General features: G+C 59.7%; 1 long non-coding RNA gene across 5 annotated transcripts in view, besides 1 other annotated feature; it reads right to left on the bottom strand.

Moving 5' to 3' along the window:
- Positions 1-1002: 1002 nt before the first annotated feature.
- The window catches only part of LOC105376311 (uncharacterized), a 38028-nt gene continuing 17351 nt past the window's right edge, over positions 1003-21679 (bottom strand). The window contains exons 1-7 of one of the 5 annotated variants that reach the window (XR_007061838.1): positions 10621-11596; positions 9476-10531; positions 5191-5350; positions 4272-4440; positions 2215-2363; positions 1786-2009; positions 1003-1572 (exon numbers count right to left, since the gene is read on the bottom strand). This is a non-coding gene — a long non-coding RNA (uncharacterized LOC105376311). Of the gene's footprint in view, positions 1573-1785; positions 2010-2211; positions 2364-4271; positions 4441-5190; positions 5351-7393; positions 8579-9475; positions 10532-10620; positions 11597-21679 lie in introns of those variants that run through there. The other 4 variants (XR_007061837.1, XR_007061839.1, XR_007061840.1 and 1 more) reach the window with 4 other exon arrangements.
- Positions 8191-8692: an enhancer, noted in NCBI's record as "H3K27ac hESC enhancer chr9:137367387-137367888 (GRCh37/hg19 assembly coordinates)". NCBI's record gives its function as "activates a minimal SCP1, AML or CMV promoter by ChIP-STARR-seq in naive H9 embryonic stem cells {active_cell/tissue: H9 hESC(naive)}" and the evidence as "EXISTENCE:reporter gene assay evidence [ECO:0000049][PMID:30033119]".

Raw genomic sequence — 21679 nt, 5'->3', positions numbered from 1 at the left:
TAAGAACATGGAGTTTAGGGTTGCCTGCTTTGGAACTTTGTATTATTGCATTCTGTTGTTTAGCATTTTCTGCACATTACACCGGCCACTTATCTGTGTGTTTACATATCTAAAGATCCTTTACTGTTGATACTGTATCTCCCCATGTGATTGACCTGGCCCGAATGGGGTCCCAGCATCCCCACGAACACTCACCTCCCTTCACCTCGTCCCAAGCCTGCCAGGCACGTGGCAGCCTGAGACTCCCCCACCCACCGTGCCCTGGAGAAGGCCACCTGGCACAGCCCGTTTTGTGTGTATGAAAACGTCCCGGTCTGGGTCCCACCCCAGCAAATCCAGCCAGGTGGTCTTCAGCAAGAGAGACATCACAATCTCCAATTGCCCCAATTTACTTATTCATTTTCCTACCGGGGGCGGCTGGGCGTTTCTGGGCTCTGGCTGTCTCAGCATCAGTGCTGTGAAGGTGTTTGTCCACACACCTCCTGGGGCACAGTGTGTTTCCCCAGGAGAAGGGCCACCGCGCTGTGGCAGGTCCAGTTTTGACAAACAAGGTACGTGGTACCGAAGGCTATGCTGCTGTTCCCGTCCCTCAGCAGGGCAGGCAGCACAGATGCAACCTGCAGGGACATGGCTTCCACCTTGCAGAGTCCACCCTCACACTTCGTGCTCGCTACTGCCAGTGAGGTGCACAGAGTGGGGGTCGTTGTTCCCACCTGACAGATGAGGAAGCAGCGGCTCTGCAGCTGGAAGGGGGACACTGTGGCTGTACCTCGGCGGCAAGGCCTGGCTCGGAAAGGACATGGACTTCCCTGGCCTCTACTCCAATGCACCCAAGGGCAACCCTCAGGGTCCTGGGGACCTCCTTAGTCTTCACCACACGCCACATAGGAGGGTGAGACCTGTGTTCTCTTTGAGCCCAGCATCAGGCCCAGCCAGACCAGGTCAATCGCATGGGGAGGCAGCCTCAGGGGGAGGCAGGAAGTTCCAAGGACTCCACCGCCCTCCTTGGCATGTAAACTTTAATGTTCAGGATGCAAGTTCCACCCTACCTCACAAAGATAACGAAATTCCCTGCGGAAGCCGACAGCGGGCACCTTTCCTGTAGGCCCTGGTGCCTCGCAGGTGACCGGCTCACGGGTCCACGTGACTGTACCCACGTCCCCTCCTCCTATGGAGCACCTCTTCCCATTTTACTTCCCACGCGCATCTGGCAGAAATGGTTAGTCGGGCGTCCACAGGGCAGATTCCAAACCCACCACCAAGTGTAACCTTTGCCAATTCTCCCCCTGAGCCTCAGTTTCCCTCTCATGAGAGGGTGAGGAGAGGTGATCTGTGAGGGTCTGTTCACCTCTGGAATCACGCAGCACATAACTGGGTCCTCAGAACACGTGCACAGGCCTCAGAGAGCATGTGGGGCTCGTTGCCTTAAGGAGATCAGTGTGACGTTAAGAAGACATTTTCCAATGTTGTAACTTCGCTTTAGCCCCATCTGCATGACCAAAGGGCAAAAACACAGCCTCTGGAATGAGGGAGGGTTGTAGACGTGTTCTTTCTCACTTCAAGGGGTAAAAACTGCAATAAACAAGAGACATTTAGGACATTTAGGGACACTTCCTCCCAGAATGGCCAACCCAGGAAGGAGGTGGACCAGTCAGGGCCAGCAGGACACAGAAAGCTAAATCCCAGAGGTCGAAGGAACCGAGTGCAAGGGCAGGGCTGCCCCAGGTGGACGCCTTTGCCATCACAGCCCCAGAGGCACTAGCGGTGCAAGCATGGTGACCATACCTGGTGGGACTCAGGACCCTGGATGGCAGCCATCGCCAGAACTCAGCCAGGCGAGGAGTGGGGGACAGCTTCCTGCCATCTTCCCTTTGATCTTCTGCCATGGCTGTCCATTGGGCAAACCCAACGGGAAGCCCATGGGCCAGAGAGCCCTAGGAATGCGATCCTTGGAGATCAGCTTCCCAGGCCATAGAGCAGGACGCAGAAGAGAAGAGAGCCGAGTGGATCTGGGGGACCAAAAGGAGAGTAAGCAATTCAGAAGGTGACAGCCTCGTCATGGTAGACAGCGCCTAAGATGGCCCCAGTTACCCTGCCCCCCAGAATGCAGGCTCTTGGGTAGTCCCCTCCCGTTGAATATGGGTGAGACCCATGAGTTGTTTTTAACCCATGGAGTGTGGTAAAGGTGGAAGGCATCCCTCCGGCACTGACCACCTGTGAGATTGTGATGTCTCTCTTGCTGAGGACCGCCTGGCTGGATTTGCTGCCACACGCAGCCAAGCTGGGGAGGCCCACGGCACTGGACTGAGGACAGCCTCCAGCTAATACCCAGCTAGGAGCTGAGATGACCTCCGGCCAACAGCCTGCAAGAGATGGAGGCCCTCAGCCCCACAACCACAAGGAAGCAGATTCTGCCAATGACCACGAGCACTGGGGAGGGATCCCTCCCAGACAGGTCTGCAGATGAGACCGAAGATGCAACCGACACCCGTGATGGCTGCCTCTGAGACCCTGAAGATGAAGACCCTGCTAAGCTGTGCCCGACCCCAGAAAACTGAGATAATAAACGTGTGTTGTTTTAAGCCAATCACTTTGCGGTAATGTTGTCATACGGCACTAAGTAACTAACAGGTAATTTAGTACCTGGAAGTGGGGGGCTGCCATAAGGAATACCTAGAAGTGTTGGGGCAGCTTTGGAACTGGACAGGGGCAGAGGGTGATTTGGGAGACTGTGGTAGAGAAAGCCTAATTTGCTTTGAGCAAACTGTTGGTGGAAATCTGAGCTTTCAGATGACTGCCAGAGGCCGGGCGTAGTGGCTCACAGCTGTAATCCCAGTATTTTGGGAGGCCGAGGCAGGCGAATCACCTGAGGTGGGGAGTTCGAGACTAGCCTGGACGACATGGAGAAACCGCTACTAAAAATACAAAAATTAGCCAGGCGTGGTGGTGCACACCTGTAATCCCAGCTGACGGGGAGGCTGAGGCAGGAGAATCACTTGAACCCAGGAGGCAGCCAGACGTGGTGGCGCACACCTGTAATCCCAGCTGACGGGGAGGCTGAGGCAGGAGAATCACTTGAACCCAGGAGGCAGCCAGGCGTGGTGGCGCACACCTGTAATCCCAGCTGACGGGGAGGCTGAGGCAGGAGAATCACTTGAACCCAGGAGGCAGCCAGGCGTGGTGGCGCACACCTGTAATCCCAGCTGACGGGGAGGCTGAGGCAGGAGAATCACTTGAACCCAGGAGGCAGCCAGGCGTGGTGGCGCACACCTGTAATCCCAGCTGACGGGGAGGCTGAGGCAGGAGAATCACTTGAACCCAGGAGGCAGCCAGGCGTGGTGGCGCACACCTGTAATCCCAGCTGATGGGGAGGCTGAGGCAGGAGAATCATTTGAACCCAGGAGGCAGCCAGGCGTGGTGGTGCACACCTGTAATCCCAGCTGACGGGGAGGCTGAGGCAGGAGAATCACTTGAACCCAGTAGGCAGAGGTTGCAGTGAGCTGAGATCACGCCACTGCACTCCAGCCAGGGCAACAGAATGAGACTTCATCTCAAAAATAATAATAATAATAATTTTGAAAAAGATCACTGCCAGAGAGGACTCGGAAGCAAGCAAGGACAACGTCACTGAAAACCGGAGGGAGGGAGATGCTTGCAAAGTCGTTAAGAGCAAGTTCAGCAAAATCGTCACCTGCAGGTATGCGGCAAGGAGGATGGGTTGAGACTGGGCTGGGCTACTGAGCTAAAGAGGCTTCCCTGAAAAGTATGGGAGGTACTGTTTGGTTTCTTTTTGCTGCTTACAGTACAAAGCAAGAAGAAAGAGATATATTGAGGACAGAACTGTTAAAAAAAAAAAAAAAAAAGGAACAAGGACTTGATGATTTTGAAAATTCTCAGCCCCTCTCAGTGGTAAATGGTGCTGAAATTAAGAAACGCAGAAGCACAGGTGGGGCCACGGGGTGTCTGCTGCGCTCCTGGCTCCTTCTGCCAGTGCTCCTGGCTCTGCTGCCACACACAGCGGCTCCTCTGCTCTCCTGGGCTTCCCCCTCTCCTGCTTTCTCATGGGCATGCCCCAGACTGTTCCGGGCCACACTTTTTTCTCTGCTTACATGTTAATGACCAAGGGATGACCTTCAAATTCATGGTATCTAATACTGTCAGCTTCAGGTAGCAATATACACCTAAACAAAATCTCATGGTCGCAATCACTAGGAGTTTATTTTTCTTACCCCACAGTCCTGAGATAAGTGGCTGCTGGTAATGATTCTCACCTCGGTGTCACCGCAGCTGCGTCTCTGTGACTCTGGTGGTCTTTTGTCCCTGCTTGTTACCCACACTCACGAGTTGGCTGCTGTGTTCCCAGCCAGGACATCCACATTCAAGATGGGGAAGAGCAGGGGAGACAGAGAAATGTCTTCTGAGCAGCCGGGAAAGTATGGCCTGGTGGAAAACCTGAGATTGTGACTGCAGAAACTTCTGCTAAAATTCAGAAAAACCAGATGCTAAAAGTACCAGGTCACACAAACAAACAGTCCTGTAAGGAGATAAAGACTGGCCTCATGGATGTTCTCAATGGAACCAGAGAACCTCTAGGGAGCTTGAAGGCATGCTAGGAGACGCTCTCACTCATGGGCTGTGATGAAGACAGTGCCATGAGGGAGAGGCCTAGGGGCAGCCTTCAGCCTCCAGCCAGCAAGAAACTGGAGCCCTCGGTGTGACAGCCCACAAGGACCTCAGACCTCCTGACAGCCACGGGAGCTTGAAAGCAGACTCTTCCCCAGCTGAGCCTCCAGATGAGACCCCGGCTCTGGCCAACACCTTGGCTGCAGCCTTGCAGAGGCCCCAGTCAGGTCATGCCCAGGCTCTTGCCCCACAGAAACTATGGGGTAATAACTGTGTGTTGCTCTCAGCTGCTCAGTTTGGGCCACAGTCATGCAGCACTAGGTACTAGACCCACTGCAGGGCAGCCACACACTTGGTAGCAATAGTGGAGAGATGATTTATATACTGAAGCATTTTAGATAAAATAATTTCTGCAATTTAAAGGACTGCACTGTAAAGTACAAAACACTAGTCACATATTGGAGCGCACCGTGGCTCCCAAGACCCATTGGCAAGAGAGAGGGGCCCAAACCCCAAAACACACTCAGGCCCCCGGATTTCTGAGCCATTTGTGATTTGGGAACCTACCTTGGCTCAAGTGGGATACGTTGCCCCTTTCTTTTTCCAAGTTTCCAGACCGCCAAAAGATTCTTAAGCTCAGTTCTCCAATGGCTGCGAGTCAATGGGGCCGTTACATTTGCTTAGCCAGGGTCACGAATCAGGAAGCTTTAGCATCGTTCCTGGCTCTCTGAAACCATTTGGTAGAGAACTAGTTAGAGAAGCATTAAGGCATTTGGACCTGTCTTCTTCTGCTCAGGTGCCCATAACAAATACCACAGACTGGAGGGCTTAAGCAACAGACATCTATTCCTAGGAAGTACAAGATCAGGGTGCTGGCCAATTGGTTTCCAATGAGGGCCCTCTCCCTGCCTCATGTCCACACATAGTGGGGAGAGAGAGAAAGAAGAGGGAGTCCTCTCATCTCTTCCTATAAGGACATTGATCCTATGGGATCAGGGCCCCATCCTTATGCCCTCTTTTAATCACCTCCAGAAAGCCCTCATCTCCAAGCACAGTGACACCAGGAGCTGGGACTTCAACATATGAAGGCAGGGGGAGTACACAGTTCAGTCCGTAACAGACCCCCTGGCCATCTGCAGAGGAGGTTAGAGGCCTCTCCCTCGGCCACGGACAAACATATGGGTCCTGGGCTTTCTCTTGTTTCTGTCAACTATAGAGAGAGTGGCCAAAACACTGCCCAGAATGTTTTCCATCACACACGAGCATACACACAAGAGCAATGGATATTTGAGAACAAAGGAGTCCACCAGGAAACAGATTCGGAGTGACTGGGTCCAAGGAAGAAGGACAGGTCTCCCCAGGGATGGACCACATGAGCGTCGTGTCCTAGAGAGGCCACCAGACTCAGCCAGGACAGACCTCATTGGACAGACGGGGTGAGGATGGTGCCTCCAGCCCAGACACCACGTGACCGCTCGTCCTTCTCAGTCCAGCCACTGCACTACTCGGTCACGCCATTGCCAAGGTGAGTCAGAGCCTAGCAAGGAGGCCCACCTAGCCCGGCAGACAGATCTCCCCCATGGGAGCCCCGTGCAGGTCAGCGCGGGTGTCTCCCACCCAGTAGTTCCTCCCGAAATCACATTTTATTGCTGCTTTATACAATGACTAAAAGGTCACTACTCCTGCCAACCCATGAGCAAACTAAAACAAGAAGCTTTTCCCTCCTTCACAAGTCTGAAAGGGCATCCAAGGTCTCGTCAGCTGTGCCCGGCTCCCTCCGGGTCTCAGCATGCCAAGCAGCCCGGCACATGGGCACACCCGAAGAAGGACCTTCCACCCCACCTCACACCGCCAGGGACAGCAGGACCTCGCGGAGGGGTGGTTCTGCTCATCCATCTGCCCCTCAGCAGCTCATCTGGTAAGCCCTGGCCCCTGGAGGCTTAGAGAATCCCAGCTGGAGTTGCTGTGGGTGCAGGAGCCTGCGGAAGGCGCCGGCTGCAAGTGCCAGGTGTTTCCTTGGTGGCAGAGCTGGCAGGAGCTTGGTGAGAATGACCAGGCTGTGCATGCATCCAGCCCCTCTCTGGGAAAATCATCAGCCTGGCACACAGTTGGTGCTCAAAATAGAAATGGCTAAGCCATTCCCAGACATGGCTACAGTGGCAAACAAAATAGACGTCGCAACCTGCTGCATTGAGCAGCTGCCCACGGGAGGACAGACCAGAAACAGGGCTCCAGCCCCACTGAGTTCCATCCCCGTCCACCACATGGCTGCTGGCCGGTCCTTGGAAAAGCCCCTTTCACACCGTCTGACCTCAGTTTCAATACCTATAAAATGAGAGTGTGGGGCCCGCCTTCCCAAGAGTGATCGGTCCGGCCTCTCCATAGGACCTGCTGTGGTTGGCACAGGGACGGCTGCCCTGGTTTCCCTTCAGGAGGGACCTGTCACCCGGCCCCGGGGAGTGGCTAGCACACAGCCTCCAGCTGGCAGCTCCTCCGCACCCTAGGTCATGCCCCTTCCCACGCTCTGTAGGTGAGCCACGGCCGTGTGCCGCAGGACACCAACAGGCAGGACGCAGTGAGGTGCAGGACACTTTTCTGGGGGTCCCCAGAGGGCTGGACTAGGCCTTATGAGGCCTGCACCACTATGCAGCCGCCTTTTCCACCCAATCTGGCTTCTTCTTTCCCTTCTGTCTTAGTCCATTTGAGCCACGATAAAAGAAAACTACCCCCAGACCGGGCAATTTATAAAGAACAGAAATGTATTTATCACCATCTGGAGGCTGGGAGGGCTGAGCTCAAGGCTCCATGAAGTCCTCTGGCCAGCAGTCTCTAGAACACCCCAGAGAAGGCAACTCGGGAGCGCTGGGTGGGTGAAGTGGCTACAGCAGCCCTTCCCAGCGGTGCCAGGCTCCGTGTGGCCTCTCATCCACCTATTGATAGGCAGGGAAACAGGCTCAGGCCGACTTGGCCACACTGGAACCCAGACCCTCAGCCATCCAACACTAAAGCCTGTATCTTAACCCACACAGCTTGTGGATACCCGTCTCAGGGCCACCTTGCTCTTCACAAAGATGGGCAAACTGAGGCCTAGAGTGAAGGACTGAGGCTTAGAGTGAGGAACTGAGACCTAGAGTGAGGAACTGGGGCCTAGAGTGAGGAACTGGCGCCTAGAGTGAAGGACTGAGGCTTAGAGTGAGGAACTGGGGTCTAGAGTGAGGAACTGGGGCCTAGAGTGAGGAACTGGGACCTAGAATGAGGAACTGGGGCCTAGAGTGAGGAACTGGGGCCTAGAGTGAGGAACTGGGGCCTAGAGTGAGGAACTGGGGCCTAGAGTGAGGAACTGAGGCCTAGAGTGAGGAACTGGGGCCTAGAGTGAGGAACTGGGACCTAGAATGAGGAACTGGGGCCTAGAGTGAGGAACTGGCGCCTAGAGTGAGGAACTGGGGCCTAGAGTGAGGAACTGGGGCCTAGAGTGAGGAACTGGCGCCTAGAGTGAGGAACTGGGGCCTAGAGTGAGGAACTGGGGCCTAGAGTGAGGAACTGGGGCCTAGAGTGAGGAACTGAGGCCTAGAGTGAGGAACTGGGGCCTAGAGTGAGGAACTGGGGCCTAGAGTGAGGAACTGGCGCCTAGAGTGAGGATGCGACGAGCAAGCCCTGGTGCCAGTTGCAGGTCCGGGGTCTCCAGCTCTGAGGGCAGAATGCACTAATGCTCAGTGTCAGAGAAGCTCTGGGGGCTCTAGGGATTTCCAGGGAACCCTCTTGGAATGTGTCGGGGCTGGAATGGTGGCTGTCCTGGCTGCAGCCCCAAACCCAGGCTCTCTGCAAACCCACACAGGCTCTGGGCTTTGGGACGAGCAGAGTGGGGAGCGGCTTGTGCAGGCTGAAGTTGGAGCCAAGCAGAGAGGCCAGTGGGAGGGGGACCCCACCAGGGCCCCAGCACAGCCCCCACCCCATCCTGGCTGGGGGCTCACTGAGCAGCGACTGCCAGGCCAGAGCTGCCTTCCTTCCTAAAGCCTGGGGCCCCGCCTCCCGGGACACGGCCCAGAAAAGGAGGAGGAAAAGTTCATTTCCTGAACACGCCTGGAGAAAGAAGTGTGCAGCCTGTCCACGTGGCAGAGTTTGCAGATGCCACCGGCCTCCCGCAGGCTCAGGGTGGAGAGACATCCTGCGTGGAGTGCAGCGCCCCTTCTCGTCCGGGTCCCTCCTCCTTCCCCGGGGATCTGCTCCTTCCCCGAACCCCTCCTGCTTCCCCGGGAATCTGCTCCTCGTTCTCTCAAGACAGCAGGGCAGCGGGGTCCTAAGGTGCCGATCAGGGTCAGGGGGTGCCCACCAGGCCTCTCCAGGCAGCAGGAACCCACCCAGCCCCCTGAGGCCCAGGCAAGGCTTTCTGGCGGCAGCCAAACCCACACTTTGTCAGCTTCCTCCACCTGCTCAGTGAGCCCAGGCCCCAGGGAAACAGCTGAGAACAAAATACATAACGTCTCTGCAAAGGGACATCCCCCAGCACCCGGAGGAAGGATGCATCGAGCAGAAGCCAGATCGGTGTAGAGCCATGGGTGGGCACCGTCCCCTCGAGCCCTCTGAGAAGGCTCCAGCCAGAGGCAGGTGCAAGGGCAAAGCCAACTGCCACGAGGCCCAGGCAGTTGCACCTGGACAGAGGGGCTCCTGGGGTGTGGGAGGGAGTGAGGCAGGGGCTAGGGATGGAGCAGGGGCTGGCTTGGGGCCTCCTCTTATCCCGTTAGTGGCAAGACACACTCCACGGCTCCGCCTCGGGGACACCTGACTGCTGCGGGGAGAGCGGGCATGCCATCCACTCAGCAAACACACACTGAGCCCCAGCTGTGCGCCTCACCCTGGGGCTGGGGGCTCATCTTCAGCAGGCCCAGGTCTCAGCGGGGGCAAGTACATCAGCCAATAGCCCCCTCCAGGGAGGTTCCATCGGGGCCAGGGCCTGGAGGGTCACCAAGCTCATTCTCGAAGAGTCTCAGAGTGAGAGTGGCAGGCAAGCCCTCTGCCTCCGGGTTCCGCTGTCAGGACACAGGAAGATGCTCATGGGCCAGCATGGCCTTAGATGCCAGCTCTGCACAGCACGGGCATTTTTCTGCCCCATTTTGGCCTTCATTCAGCAAGTGCCCTCCTCGCCCCCAAACGTGAGGCACTCTCTGGGGAAGCCCACCACGATGGAGCACCCAGGAGGCTACTCTCGGAAGATTCCGGGGCAACCCCAGAGCCCCTACATCCCGTGGGATCCGCAAGCCTGCACGGCTTGGGCTGCTCCAGCCAGGGGAGGCTGTGGGAATCGAGCCTTTTGGAGGAGTCATGGGACTCCACAGGGGTCAGCAGAGGAGCTAGACTTCACCCTAGGGACAGTGAGGGAGGCCTGGTGGCCACGCTCAGGACACACTATCTTACAGGAAGAGGCAAGTCCTCACCCGGCCCTTTCTGCTCTCTGCCCTCCCAGCCCACTCTGCTGCAGTCACCCTGGCCCCCCTGGTGATTGTCCAAAATAAATACAAAAGTCCTAACAGCTTCGTTGACTGGGGCTGGCTCACACACCCGTGCACCGTGTGTGTGACTCACATCAACCCAAAGCGGGGAGATAGCCACCCCTACAAGCCCCCCAAGTCACCAGTTCCAGGGGCCCCCCAGGCGCCAGCCCAGGTCAGCTGACAGCAGGGCGAGCCTCCAGCCTCCACGCCACACTCCGGCACACAGACTGGGCCACCCGGAGCCTAATGTTTTCAGGATGAACGCAAGTCAGCCAGAGGACCTCAGAGCTTCTCTGCAAAAGCCAGAGAGGTTCCAGCATGGAACGACCTCACCAGAACAGGCACGGAGACGTCGGAGACTCCGGATGGAGGGCAGTCCAGGCAGGCTTCCTGGAACAGGTGTGGGACAGGCCTGTGGGCTGGGAAGAGGAGGTGGAAGTGAGAAAGGAAGGGAGGCAGAGCCATCCACATCAGCAGGAGCACCTCCCAGCCTGCCTTGCCTCCGAACCTCCAGGCCAGGACTTCTTCCAGCACACGTGAGGCTGCCCATCCAGCGGCTTCTCCCATCAAGGCAGTGGCAGGGGTAGCCCGAGGGCCAGGCCAGGTGAGGGAGCCCACAGCCCTGTGCTAGGGCGGTTCCAAGAAGCCAAAGTGAGTGATCACGGTCTCTGCAGCCAGCGCCACTGAGGCTCATCTGTGCAGGATTCCCAGAGAACATCATTCAATTCCAGACTTAATTGGCATTAAATTGGACATTCTAGTAGAATAGGTTGAGTTCCAAATCGTCATTATGCAAAACATCCACTGCAGCTGATGGGACCGTATGAGCCAACAGAAGTCCATTTGAATAAGAAGACAGCAACTTAGGGCCAGGCATCTTCCAGGAGGGGGACTGGGCCTCCCAGGGGACACGGAAAATGGGACGCTGTGCACCTTGGCCAGGGCTGTGGCGCTGTGAGGGTCAGCTTCCTCTGTAGGCCCCCTCTGAACCTCTGGTTGGAAGCTGGAGCCCTAGCTCTGTGTCCCTCCCGCCTGGGGAGGGGTGTACTTATCCACTCGCCAGCCCCCTGGAGATGGGGGTGAAGTTGAGAGTCCAAGCCGGAGTCCCACCGTGCTGTGACCCGGGGTGTGAGACTCAACACTGGGGCCTCACCTGGGAGAGGGTGGACCTGCCACCTCCTCCACGCCCAAGGGAGAAGGAGCCAGGAGCCCAGGGCCATGCATACACAGGAGGCACTCAGGGAACGTGGAAGTGGCATCTGTAGTGAGCCCGGCCCTGGCCATGATCAGGGACTCTTCGGACCCTCAAAGGGGGAAGGCCAGGCCTCAGACCACCCAGGCTTTCCTTGGGAAAAACTGAGAGTGGAGGGGCCCTGGGAGTGGGGTGGGCCAGGGCCCCCAGGGCTCCAAATTGCCAGCGGGGAACTGGGGCTCCCAGAGGCGCAGAGCGACCTGCCCCGGGCGAGTAGCTCCAAAGGGGCAGGGCCAGGCCACCCCTGCCCCACCAAGGCAGGCACTGAGACTCAGATGGCTCCTCCAAGCCCAAGGCCTGCAACACCACCAAGGAAGGCGTCTCCACCCCAGCCAGCCTCCCACCTCTGACTGACCTCTGGGGCTGCAGGGGCCAGGTCCCCGCCCAGAAAGCCTCTCCTGCCCACTACTGTCAGCAACTCCAGGGCTGGGGCAGCCACCCACAGGGCTCATGCCCAGTCTGGCTCCCACCCCTCAGGGACAGCCAGGCAGGAGGCTAGAGGATTCTGCCAAAGCTCCCTGCAGCCAGCCGGAGGGCCAAGCACAGCCAAGACCTCTGCACCGCCCCACCACTAATGAAGAGCGGGTCTGAGCAGTCATCGGGGTGAGCAAGGCTACAGACCAACAGGCTGTGTCCCCACTGTCCCAAAGAGACCACACTCAGGAGGGGCTGAGCTCAAGAAGACCTGAATCACAGAAGGACAAGTTCAGGAGGACCCAGGCTCAGGAGGACCCAGGCTCAGGAGGACCCAGGCTCAGGAAGGTCCCAGGCTCAGAAAGACCCAGGCTCAGGAGGACCAAGGCTCAGGAGCACCCCAGCTCAGGAGGACCTTGACTCAGAAGGACCCAGGCTCAGGAGGACCCTGACTCAGGAGGGTCCCAGGCTCAGGAGGACCCCAGGCTCAGGAGGACCCCAGGCTCAGGAGGACCCTGACTCAGGAGGACCCAAGCTTAGGAGGACCCAGGCTCAGGAGGACCCTAGCTCAGGAGGACCATGACTCAGAAGGACCGAGGCTCAGGAAGACCCAGGCTCAGGAGGACCCCCAACTCAGGAGGGCCCCAACTCAGGAGGGCCCCAGGCTCAGGAGGATTCCAGGCTCAGGAAGAGCCAAGCTCAGGACTATTCAGGTTCAGGAGGGTCCCAGGCTGAAGAGGATCCCAGGCTCAGGAGGACCCCGACTCAGGAGGACCCAGGCTCAGGAGGACCCCAGGCTCAGGAGGACTCAGGCTCAGGAGGATCCCAGGATCAGGAGGACCCAGGCTCAGTAGGACCCAGGTTCAGGAGGGCCACAGGCTCAGGAGGACACAGGCTCAGGAGGACCCTGACTTAGGAGGGCCTCAGGTTCAGGAGGACACAGGCTCAGGAGGACCCCGACTTAGGAGGGCCTCAGGCTCAGGAGGACCCCAGGCTCAGGAGGACCCCAGACTCAGGAGGGCCCCGGGCTCAGGAGGACCCCAGGCTCAGGAGTTACCAGGCTCAGGATGACCCAGGTTTAGGAGTTCCCAGGCTTAGGAGGACCCAGGCTCAGGAGGACCCCAACTCAGGAGGACCCTGACTCAGGAGGACTCAGCTTCAGGAGGACCCAGGCTCAGGAGGACCCAGGCTCAGGAGGATCCTGACTTAGGAGGGCCCAGGCTCAGGAGGACCCAGGCTCAGGAGGACCCCAGGTTCAGGAGGACCCAGGCTCAGGAGGACCCTGACTCAGGAGGGCCCCAGGCTCAGGAGGACCCAGGCTCAGGAGGACCCCAGACTTAGGAGGACCCAGGATCAGAAGGACCCTGACTCAGGAAGACCCCAGGCTCAGAAGTTTCCAGGCTCAGAAGGACCCATGCTCAGGAGGACCCAGGCTCAGGAGGACCCCAGTTCAGGAGGACCCTGACATGGAAGGACCCAGGCTCAGGAGGACTCTCACTTAGGAGGGTCCCAGGCTCAGGAGAACCCCAGGCTCAAGAGGACCCCAACTCAGGAGGACCCTGACTCAGGAGGACCCCAGGTTCAGGAGTTCCCAGGCTCAGGAGGTCCCAGGCTCAGGAGGACCCTGACTCAGGAGGGCCCAGGCTCAGGAGTTTCCAGGCTCTGGAGGACTCCAGTTCAGGAGGACCCTGACACAGAAGGACTGAGGCTCAGGAGGACCCTTACTCAGGAGGGTCCCAGGCTCAGGAGGACCTGGGCTCAGGAGGGACCCAGGCTCAGAAAGACCCCAACTCAGGAGGACCCTGATTCAGGAGGGCCCAGCTTCAGGAGGACCCAGGCTCAGGAGTTGCCAGGCTCAGGAGGACCCCAGTTCAGGAGGACCCTGACACAGAAGGACCCAGGCTCAGGAGGACTCTGACTTAGGAGGGTCCCAGGCTCAGGAGGACCCCAACTCAGGAGGACCCTGACTCAGGAGGACCCCAGGCTCAGGAGGACCCAGGCTCAGGAGGACCCCAGGCTCAGGAGGACTCAGGCTCAGGAGGACCCCAGGCTCAGGAGGGCCCCAGGCTCAGGAGGACACAGGCTCAGGAGGACCCCAGACTTAGGAGGACCCAGGATCAGAAGGACCCTGACTCAGGAAGACCCCAGGCTCAGAAGTTCCCAGGCTCAGGAGGACCCATGCTCAGGAGGACCCAGGCTCAGGAGGACCCCAGGCTCAGGAGGACTCAGGCTCAGGAGGACCCCAGGCTCAGGAGGGCCCCAGGCTCAGGAGGACCCAGGCTCAGGAGGACCCCAGACTTAGGAGGACCCAGGATCAGAAGGACCCTGACTCAGGAAGACCCGAGGCTCAGAAGTTCCCAGGCTCAGGAGGACCCATGCTCAGGAGGACCCAGGCTCAGGAGGACCCATGCTCAGGAGGACCCAGGCTCAGGAGGACCCCAGTTCAGGAGGACCCTGACATGGAAGGACCCAGGCTCAGGAGGAACCCAGGCTCAGGAGGATCCAGGCTCAGGAGGACCCTGACTTAGGAGGGCCCCAGGCTCAGGAGGACCCAGGCTCAGGAGGATCCCAGGCTTAGGAGGACCCAGGCTCAGGAGGACCCCGGCTCGTGAGAACCCAGGCTCAGGAGGGTCTTGTAGTTGGTTTAATGCTTTGTTGTTGCCCTCTTAAAATTCTTAGTTATTTCCATCTGGAATGTGGGACCTCTGTTTTCTCTTTGCAGAGGCTCTACACATTCTGTAGCCGATCCAGCTCCCAGCCCCCACGCTGGGTGGGTCAGAATCCTCATTTCCTACCCCAGCACTGTGGCTGCCCATCTGTGAAATGGGTTTAGTGCCCACTTCCTAGGGTGGCCTGGGGTGGCGAGAGAAACAGAGACAGAGTTTTGACTTCCTGGGGTGGGTGGTGAGGGGTGGGGGACAGGGAGAGAAGAGACAGGGAGGGCAGGCAGGGCAGGGACAGGCCCCTGCCTCAGTCTAAAGTCTCTCACTCTTTTTCCTGTGGCCGCCCTCTTCACTCCCTCCTGGCCAGTCCTCAACCCTCCCCAACAAGCCAGGAAGACTCGGCATGAATCCCGTGGAAAAGAAGTGGCTGCACATTTTCCGAGATGTTTTAAACATTGTTTTGGCAAGACGGCGGCTCCTCCACGGCCCAAGTCACCCTGACATAAAACAAGCCTGACCAAAGCCAGGGCCCCAGCCCGCCGGCCTCCTCCGGCCAGCCAAGGTCTGGCTGCCATGCACTCATCACCTTCCCAGCCCTGCCCCTCCCAGATGCCGGGCACACCGGGCGGGGGAGGCCGGCCTGCCTCTTCAAACGGCCTCTTTTTAAAGCCAAGGAATGCCTCTTGATGCGTTTGTTTCTGTGGTTGCTAACCAGCAGCATCGCATGGTCTGGGAGGCCAGCAGGACACCCGGGTGACTGGTTTCATGCTCTGCACAAACTGGGCCAAGAAGGGGCTCCAGTCAACTAGCGTAGCCCCCCGTGGTGCAGGGGGAGAAACTGAGGCCCAGAGACAGGGGAGGAGGTTGCCAGGGTCCCAGATCAAGTGGCCATACTATGGGTGCATTCTGGGTCTTGCCTCTGAGAGGCAGGTCCCCGTGCTAGCCTGGCAAGGCTGCACAGGCATCGGGTTCCTGAGGGAGCATGCGTGTTGGGGGGAACGCAGGCAGCCTGTCTCCCCCACCTTATTTCTTGCCCCGTTGCATCAACCCTGTGCAGCGAGGGATAACATTGCCTCTACTTTACAGACATAAAACCAAGGCTTGGAGAGGTGAGGTGACCTGCTCATCACAGGCTGCCCCAGGTGGAACTGGGATTCCATGGGGTTGGTGTCTGGAGCTGGATCAGGCCCAGCCTCGTGGGCAGTCCCGCCCTGCAAATGGACAGGCCTTTGAGGTGGGTGCAGAGGTCCCAGCCTCCGCCTGCAGGGCCCTAGGGTCCTGGGATGGATGTAGCAGCCTGGCCTCATATCCTGCTGGGGCACTCGGGGGAAGTCGCGCCATCCCTCTAAACCCTCAGCTCCCCCACCTGTGAAGGAGGGCACGGGGCCATAAACATTAAGGACCTCATTGCTCCTAAACTACCTGGCCCAGGACCTGATTTAGGAAGAGCAACAAAAGGCAGCAGCCCCTTCTGGAAAGGAGGTAATACCTGCAAAGGGCTCGGACGTGGGAATAGGAGTCGATCATGCTGGCCAGGCTGAGACAGGACCCAGGCTGCCTGATGTGCATGGAGACAGGTCAGCCCAGCCCCACCCTGACATAAGCAGACCTCCCTCCTCCCCGAGTCTCAGGTCCCCTCAAGGGGCCAGGGGCTCCAAGAGCAGTTCCCATGGAGTGAAAGAGCTCTGCCATCTCTGATGATGCCACTGTGTCCTGCAAATTAAACTGACAAGAGGCAGATTAGGAAGAGGAAAAAAATGTTTTCATGTAGAAATGTACATGGGAGACCACAGGAAAATGGGATTCAGAGGAGTGGTTAGAATCTGGGGCTTACATATCCTCTTAGAGGTACACAAAAATCAGGGGAGAAGGAGAAGGGCACACACAGGAAAACGAATGGCTTTTTGGAAAGGTAAATGGGCCCTGAGGTGGACAGATTTGGGGTAGCGTGGCTCTGGGACCACGCCCGTATCCGTGTGCTATGGAGGTTTCTCGTCACTGACTATGATAAGAGTCCATCTTCCCTGGCCACTCCAGGGAGGGATGTACAGCAGTTGAGTTATTTCTAGTTCTTTTGGGGGGCTCTGCTTTTATTCAGATAAGGGGTTTCTGAAACTCAAATGCCTCCTGCACAAAATAATTTTATGCCCCAGCGGCGTGTTCTGAAGTCCCTTCCCCTCCCCCAGACCTTCCATCTGGCAGGTAAGCATCTCTGCTTTGTACCTAAAGAAACAAGGGCTCAGAAAGATTCAGACCTGCTCAGAGTCCCTGAGGGGGCACCATCAGCCACCCAAAGCCACCTTGCCCTGAGGCTGCACGCCCCAGAGTTTGGGAGCACAGCTGCTTGGTGCTGATAGGACAGCGCCCCAGGGGCCTCCAGGATGGCAGAGCCGCCTGGGAGCTGCTCAGGGACAGGGTCGTCCTCTGCTGATGCACCCTGGAGCGTCTGGTTGTCCCAGTGTAACTCCAGGCTGCTGGTACCGGAGTCTTCTCACTTTCCTCCCTCCCTTCTCACGGGTCCCCTCTGGGCTCTCGGCTCATGTCCCTGCATGCAGGTGGGTGTAGCAGGGTGGAGGGGTCCCTGGAATGGGGCTGGGGGAAGTAGAAAATCAAAGGCCACCCCGGAGCTCTGCTTTGCTTCCCGCCTCCCCAAGCTGGACACTTCTGCAGGGCCCAGGTCATCGGCATACTTCAGGGGCCCAGCACCAGGTGACCCCATCTCCCAAGTGCAGACCTGGAGTGGACAAGGGATCCGAGGCCAGTAGGCCCATTGGAACTGAAGCAAGGGACATGGGCAGTGGCACATGTGGCACAGAGTGGGCACTAATGGAGGGGCGGCTGGGTGAGCGGGGCAGAGGCGCGTATGGTGCAGAGTGGGCACTAATGAGGGGGCGGCTGGGTGAGCGGGGCAGAGGCGCGTGTGGCGCAGAGTGGGCACTAATGAGGGGGCGGCTGGGTGAGCGGGGCAGAGGCGCGTGTGGCGCAGAGTGGGCACTAATGAGGGGGCGGCTGGCTGAGCGGGGCAGAGGCGCGTGTGGCGCAGAGTGGGCACTAATGAGGGGGCGGCTGGGTGAGCGGGGCAGAGGCGCGTGTGGCGCAGAGTGGGCACTAATGAGGGGGCGGCTGGGTGAGCGGGGCAGAGGCGCGTGTGGCGCAGAGTGGGCACTAATGAGGGGGCGGCTGGGTGAGCGGGGCAGAGGCGCGTGTGGCGCAGAGTGGGCACTAATGAGGGGGCGGCTGGGTGAGCGGGGCAGAGGCGCGTGTGGTGCAGAGTGGGCACTAATGAGGGGGCGGCTGGGTGAGCGGGGCAGAGGCGCGTGTGGCGCAGAGTGGGCACTAATGGGGGGGAGGCTGGGTGAGCGGGGCAGAGGCGCGTGTGGTGCAGAGTGGGCACTAATGGGGGGGAGGCTGGGTGAGCGGGGCAGAGGCGCGTGTGGTGCAGAGTGGGCACTAATGGGGGGGCGGCTGGGTGAGCCGGGCAGAGGCGCGTGTGGTGCAGAGTGGGCACTAATGGGGGGGAGGCTGGGTGAGCGGGGCAGAGGCGCGTGTGGTGCAGAGTGGGCACTAATGGGGGGGAGGCTGGGTGAGCCGGGCAGAGGCGCGTGTGGTGCAGAGTGGGCACTAATGGGGGGGCGGCTGGGTGAGCCGGGCAGAGGCGCGTGTGGTGCAGAGTGGGCACTAATGGGGGGGAGGCTGGGTGAGCGGGGCAGAGGCGCGTGTGGTGCAGAGTGGGCACTAATGGGGGGGAGGCTGGGTGAGCCGGGCAGAGGCGCGTGTGGCGCAGAGTGGGCACTAATGAGGGGGCGGCTGGGTGAGCGGGGCAGAGGCGCGTGTGGTGCAGAGTGGGCACTAATGAGGGGGCGGCTGGGTGAGCGGGGCAGAGGCGCGTGTGGCGCAGAGTGGGCACTAATGGGGGGGAGGCTGGGTGAGCCGGGCAGAGGCGCGTGTGGCGCAGAGTGGGCACTAATGAGGGGGCGGCTGGGTGAGCGGGGCAGAGGTGCGTGTGGTGCAGAGTGGGCACTAATGGGGGGGCGGCTGGGTGAGCCGGGCAGAGGCGCGTGTGGTGCAGAGTGGGCACTAATGGGGGGGAGGCTGGGTGAGCGGGGCAGAGGCGCGTGTGGTGCAGAGTGGGCACTAATGGGGGGGAGGCTGGGTGAGCGGGGCAGAGGCGCGTGTGGTGCAGAGTGGGCACTAATGGGGGGGCGGCTGGGTGAGCCGGGCAGAGGCGCGTGTGGTGCAGAGTGGGCACTAATGGGGGGGAGGCTGGGTGAGCGGGGCAGAGGCGCGTGTGGTGCAGAGTGGGCACTAATGGGGGGGCGGCTGGGTGAGCCGGGCAGAGGCGCGTGTGGTGCAGAGTGGGCACTAATGGGGGGGAGGCTGGGTGAGCGGGGCAGAGGCGCGTGTGGTGCAGAGTGGGCACTAATGGGGGGGAGGCTGGGTGAGCGGGGCAGAGGCGCGTGTGGTGCAGAGTGGGCACTAATGGGGGGGCGGCTGGGTGAGCCGGGCAGAGGCGCGTGTGGTGCAGAGTGGGCACTAATGGGGGGGAGGCTGGGTGAGCGGGGCAGAGGCGCGTGTGGTGCAGAGTGGGCACTAATGGGGGGGAGGCTGGGTGAGCGGGGCAGAGGCGCGTGTGGTGCAGAGTGGGCACTAATGGGGGGGCGGCTGGGTGAGCCGGGCAGAGGCGCGTGTGGTGCAGAGTGGGCACTAATGGGGGGGAGGCTGGGTGAGCGGGGCAGAGGCGCGTGTGGTGCAGAGTGGGCACTAATGGGGGGGAGGCTGGGTGAGCCGGGCAGAGGCGCGTGTGGTGCAGAGTGGGCACTAATGAGGGGGCGGCTGGGTGAGCGGGGCAGAGGCGCGTGTGGTGCAGAGTGGGCACTAATGAGGGGGCGGCTGGGTGAGCGGGGCAGAGGCGCGTGTGGCGCAGAGTGGGCACTAATGGGGGGGAGGCTGGGTGAGCGGGGCAGAGGCGCGTGTGGTGCAGAGTGGGCACTAATGAGGGGGCGGCTGGGTGAGCGGGGCAGAGGTGCGTGTGGTGCAGAGTGGGCACTAATGGGGGGGAGGCTGGGTGAGCCGGGCAGAGGCGCGTGTGGTGCAGAGTGGGCACTAATGGGGGGGAGGCTGGGTGAGCGGGGCAGAGGCGCGTGTGGTGCAGAGTGGGCACTAATGGGGGGGAGGCTGGGTGAGCGGGGCAGAGGCGCGTGTGGTGCAGAGTGGGCACTAATGGGGGGGCGGCTGGGTGAGCCGGGCAGAGGCGCGTGTGGTGCAGAGTGGGCACTAATGGGAGGGGGCGGCTGGGTGAGCAGCGCAGAGGTGTGGGGAAGAGCTGAGGCATGACACCGGGGCCTCCAGGAGAGGCAGAGGCTGCCGGCTCTACCCCCAAGAGGCCGGCAGGACTCCCTTCCTATCCAGGAAGCCCCATGATGTCCCATCAGAGCTCATGACACCGATGTCATCCACAAGAGCTGGCCCCGGTGAGTGTCAGGTCCTCACAAGTGAGAGACATGGCCAGGACCCCCACAATGCCTCAGCTCCTACCCCATGTGCTCACCAGCCCTGGCATCCCCTTGCCCAGGAGGGGCACAGAGCATCATAAACCATCCTCCATCTCCCCCACTGTGTCCTCCACAAAGGACTCAAACTTCCAGCACAGAACAGGAGCTCTGCCTACAGCGGGGTCTCCAGGAGCCGAGGCTGCAAACCCAGAACTAACTGGCCACCTAGGTCCCAGACTGGCTTCCCCAAGGCCCAGGAAGGAGCCCACCTATTGGTGTTGACTCTGGAATTGGGGCCACAACTGAGGAAAAGGGCCTTGTGTATTTTCTGTGGCCATGGGGCTGTCAGCTTGTGTGCTCACGGGGGTTCCTCCTCCCTGGCCCCAACACCACCATCACAATCTCCAAAAATGCATCTAAGCTGTCACCATGGCGTCCACCCTGATGCCCACTGGACATCTACACTGGGCCAAGCCCTGGGAACAGGGAGGGGAGGCCGGGGCCCTCAGGGACGTCACAGCCCAGTGAGGAAAGTGGACACCTGCATTGCAGCTCCAAGGGGGCAGGGGGATGGGGGGCGTGCAGAGGGGCCCGCGACCCAGCCAGGGTCTCTGGGGTCTCAGCCCTGCTCTGAGGGATGAGGAAGAGAGGACCAGGTGGAAGGGAGTCAGGAAAGGTTTGAATTAGAAACTCTGGGGACAAAACACCCAAAGGGGAGGCGGCCCTGCTGAGGCGGGCATCCAGGGACAGAGGAGTGGCCCGGCTTGCCCAGGGCTGGAAGGCGGGCTTTAGGCCCCAACTCTGTGCTTCACCTGGAGGGTTTCCAGCTGAGGAGTGACTGGGTCAGACTGGCAGCCCGCTGTGGGGGGAAGGGCAGATCTCAGAGGGAACCTGGGAAGAAGTGGGCAGACCAGGGACACTGCAGCAGCTGCAGGCTTCCAGGGCATTGATGGCCTCATAGGAAGGTGGCCGGGGGACAGGTAGGAGGCAGAGGCAGCCCCCCAACCCCACTTCTTCGTAGCCAGCAGAGACCTCCGAGCACCGGCGCCCTCTAAAGCCGAGGTCAGGGGCCAAATGGACCTAAAGTGGGAATCCTCCTTTCTCCTTTTCAAACTTTTTATTCTTTTCTACTTAAAAGGAGCTTTGAGTGACAGGGAATGAAAACCATTACCGTGGAGACGCTGGGGACAGACTCTAGACCTGCAACCTACACAGATGTAGAATCTTCCAGAGGTGGGGCAGGGCCGGGCAACCCACCCACAGACTGATGCCAGGTGGCCCAGCTGACCAGAGGCCCCCATCCCACCACACCAGCAGCCCGTTTCACCCACAGTGCAAACCTCCTGCCTGTCTGGGCTTTTATGGTTGAGTAGTTGTAAAGGATTATGTTTTCCCTTCTTCCAGCACAATTGTCACCTTTGCTCTTCAAGCTGTCCTCTGTCTTGAGGCAGAAAAAAAAGGCACCAAGGGGCTCTATAACTGACATGTCCATAAGAGGAGGAGGCAGAGTTCAGCCGCGACAAAGAGACAGAAAACGCATCAGAAACCAACCAGCCCACAAGGACTCCCGTGTGCCCCCCAACCACGAAGCCTGGGGCACGAGGTGCTGGCAGGAGTCCCAGGTGGGGCTGAAGCCCTCGCCCTACCCTCCTACCTCCGAGCGGACGCCACCCCATGCTCTCCCACCCCCACATCTCTGCACTGGCTTCACTCCACAGCCAAGCAGATTGCGTGGCCTGAGCCTCA

The sequence above is a fragment of the Homo sapiens genome, chromosome 9, assembly GCF_000001405.40.
Source record: "Homo sapiens chromosome 9, GRCh38.p14 Primary Assembly".
Lineage (NCBI taxonomy): Eukaryota > Metazoa > Chordata > Mammalia > Primates > Hominidae > Homo > Homo sapiens.
This window is presented reverse-complemented; position numbering and strand designations above follow the sequence as displayed.